Genomic DNA, 1,689 nt, shown 5'->3' on the forward strand with positions numbered 1-1,689 from the left:
AGTAGTATTGTCAGTTCTCTAAAGGTTAGATAAAATTCAGCTAGAAATTCATGGGCTTGGTGAATTTTCAAAATTTATATTTTCCTTCTCTTCCCTGACCCAATATTCGACACCTGGGTTTTTTCTGATATCATGTGAGTATTTTCATTCTAGAGTGTCATTTGAATTATTCTTATAAATCTTCCATTTCAAGAGCCCTTGTTTACACTTACCTTATCTTCAGTCAGAATCTCTCCATCTCTGCAATATGTGTATATACATACATGCGTAAAGGTTCGTTACTTACCAATCACTCTTCTTTATCTTTTCTTATATTGAGATTTATAATATATTCTAATTAACTTGATGTTTCATTAGTCTCTTCCTGAGTATTTTCCTCAAATAGAGTGCACTGCCAATATAATGATTTACTCTCTCTTACATCTTCTTGTATTTGTTTTCTTTCACTCTCATCAACTAAGGAAATAATGGCTGGGTATGGATCTCTGGGTAGCAGTCCTTTTCTTTCAGTATTGTGTGAGGATATGTCACTGTTTTTTAGTTTCCAATGTTTTAGGTGTGAGGTTTGATGCTATGCCTGTCTAATATATTTTTTTTCCCATTGTAGGTAACTTGTTATTCTTTCTGGAAGCCTATAAGATTCTCCTTAACGTTAGAGTTCAAGGTTTTTATTAGGATATGGGTAAACGTGTATTTTCTCAGTAACACTGAATTCTAATGACTAATGATGTTGAGCATCTCTTCATGTGTATATTGGCCATTTGTATGTCTTCTTTGAAGTAATGTCAGTTCAAATGTAATACCTCATTTTAATTAGTTTATTTGCCTTTTTACTATTGATTATGCTTTTGTTGCTCATTTGAATCCATGGCTTCCCAACATTTTCTGGATTTCTTTTTTTTCTTTTTTTTTTTTTTTTTTTGAGACAAGGTCATGCTCTATAGCCCAGGTTGGACTGCAAGGGTGCAATCTCGGCTTACTGTAACCTCTGTCTCTCTGGCAGAAGTAATCCTCCCACTTCGGCCTCCTGAGGAGCTGGAATTACACATGTGCACCACCACACCCAGCTAATTATTGTATTTTTAGTAGAGGTAGGATTTTGTCATGTTGGCAAGGCTGGTCTTAAACTCCTGACCTCAAGTCATCTGCCTCCCTCAGCCTTCCAAAGTGCTGGGATTACAGGCATGAGCCACCACACCCAGCCAGGATTTCTTTTATCATAAGTCATCACTTCAGATTTTTGAAGAGAATGTACAGCAAATAATGAGGTTCTGCATATGTCATAGTCATGATGGTCACCAAAGGAGTGATTTTACCCTTTATGTTTACATTTTATCAAGAGTTGAAAAAATGTACTTTATGACCTCAAGGTAGAATAGCAATCTGATATTTGAGGCTGAGTGAGAGGACGAAATTAATTCTCAGAGCTCTGAATTACATTTTGAAAAGATTGCTCTGGAAAGTTCTTGGACTCTAAGGGAGTCAGGGTAGAAGTGGGTAGTACAGTTAGTAGTACAGTTAAAGATCTAGTCTAATAATCTAGCTGAAGGATGAAGGTATTTGGATCATAGCAATCATGGAGAATAGAGCAATGGTGATCTGCTAGAATGAAGAGGACTTGCCATTAGATTGAATGTGGTAAAACAGAAAGACAGGAGTCAAGGAAAACTTGAAAGTTATTGTCTTGAG

This window comes from Homo sapiens, chromosome 9, assembly GCF_000001405.40.
Source record: "Homo sapiens chromosome 9, GRCh38.p14 Primary Assembly".
In the NCBI taxonomy this organism is placed as follows: Eukaryota; Metazoa; Chordata; class Mammalia; order Primates; family Hominidae; genus Homo; species Homo sapiens.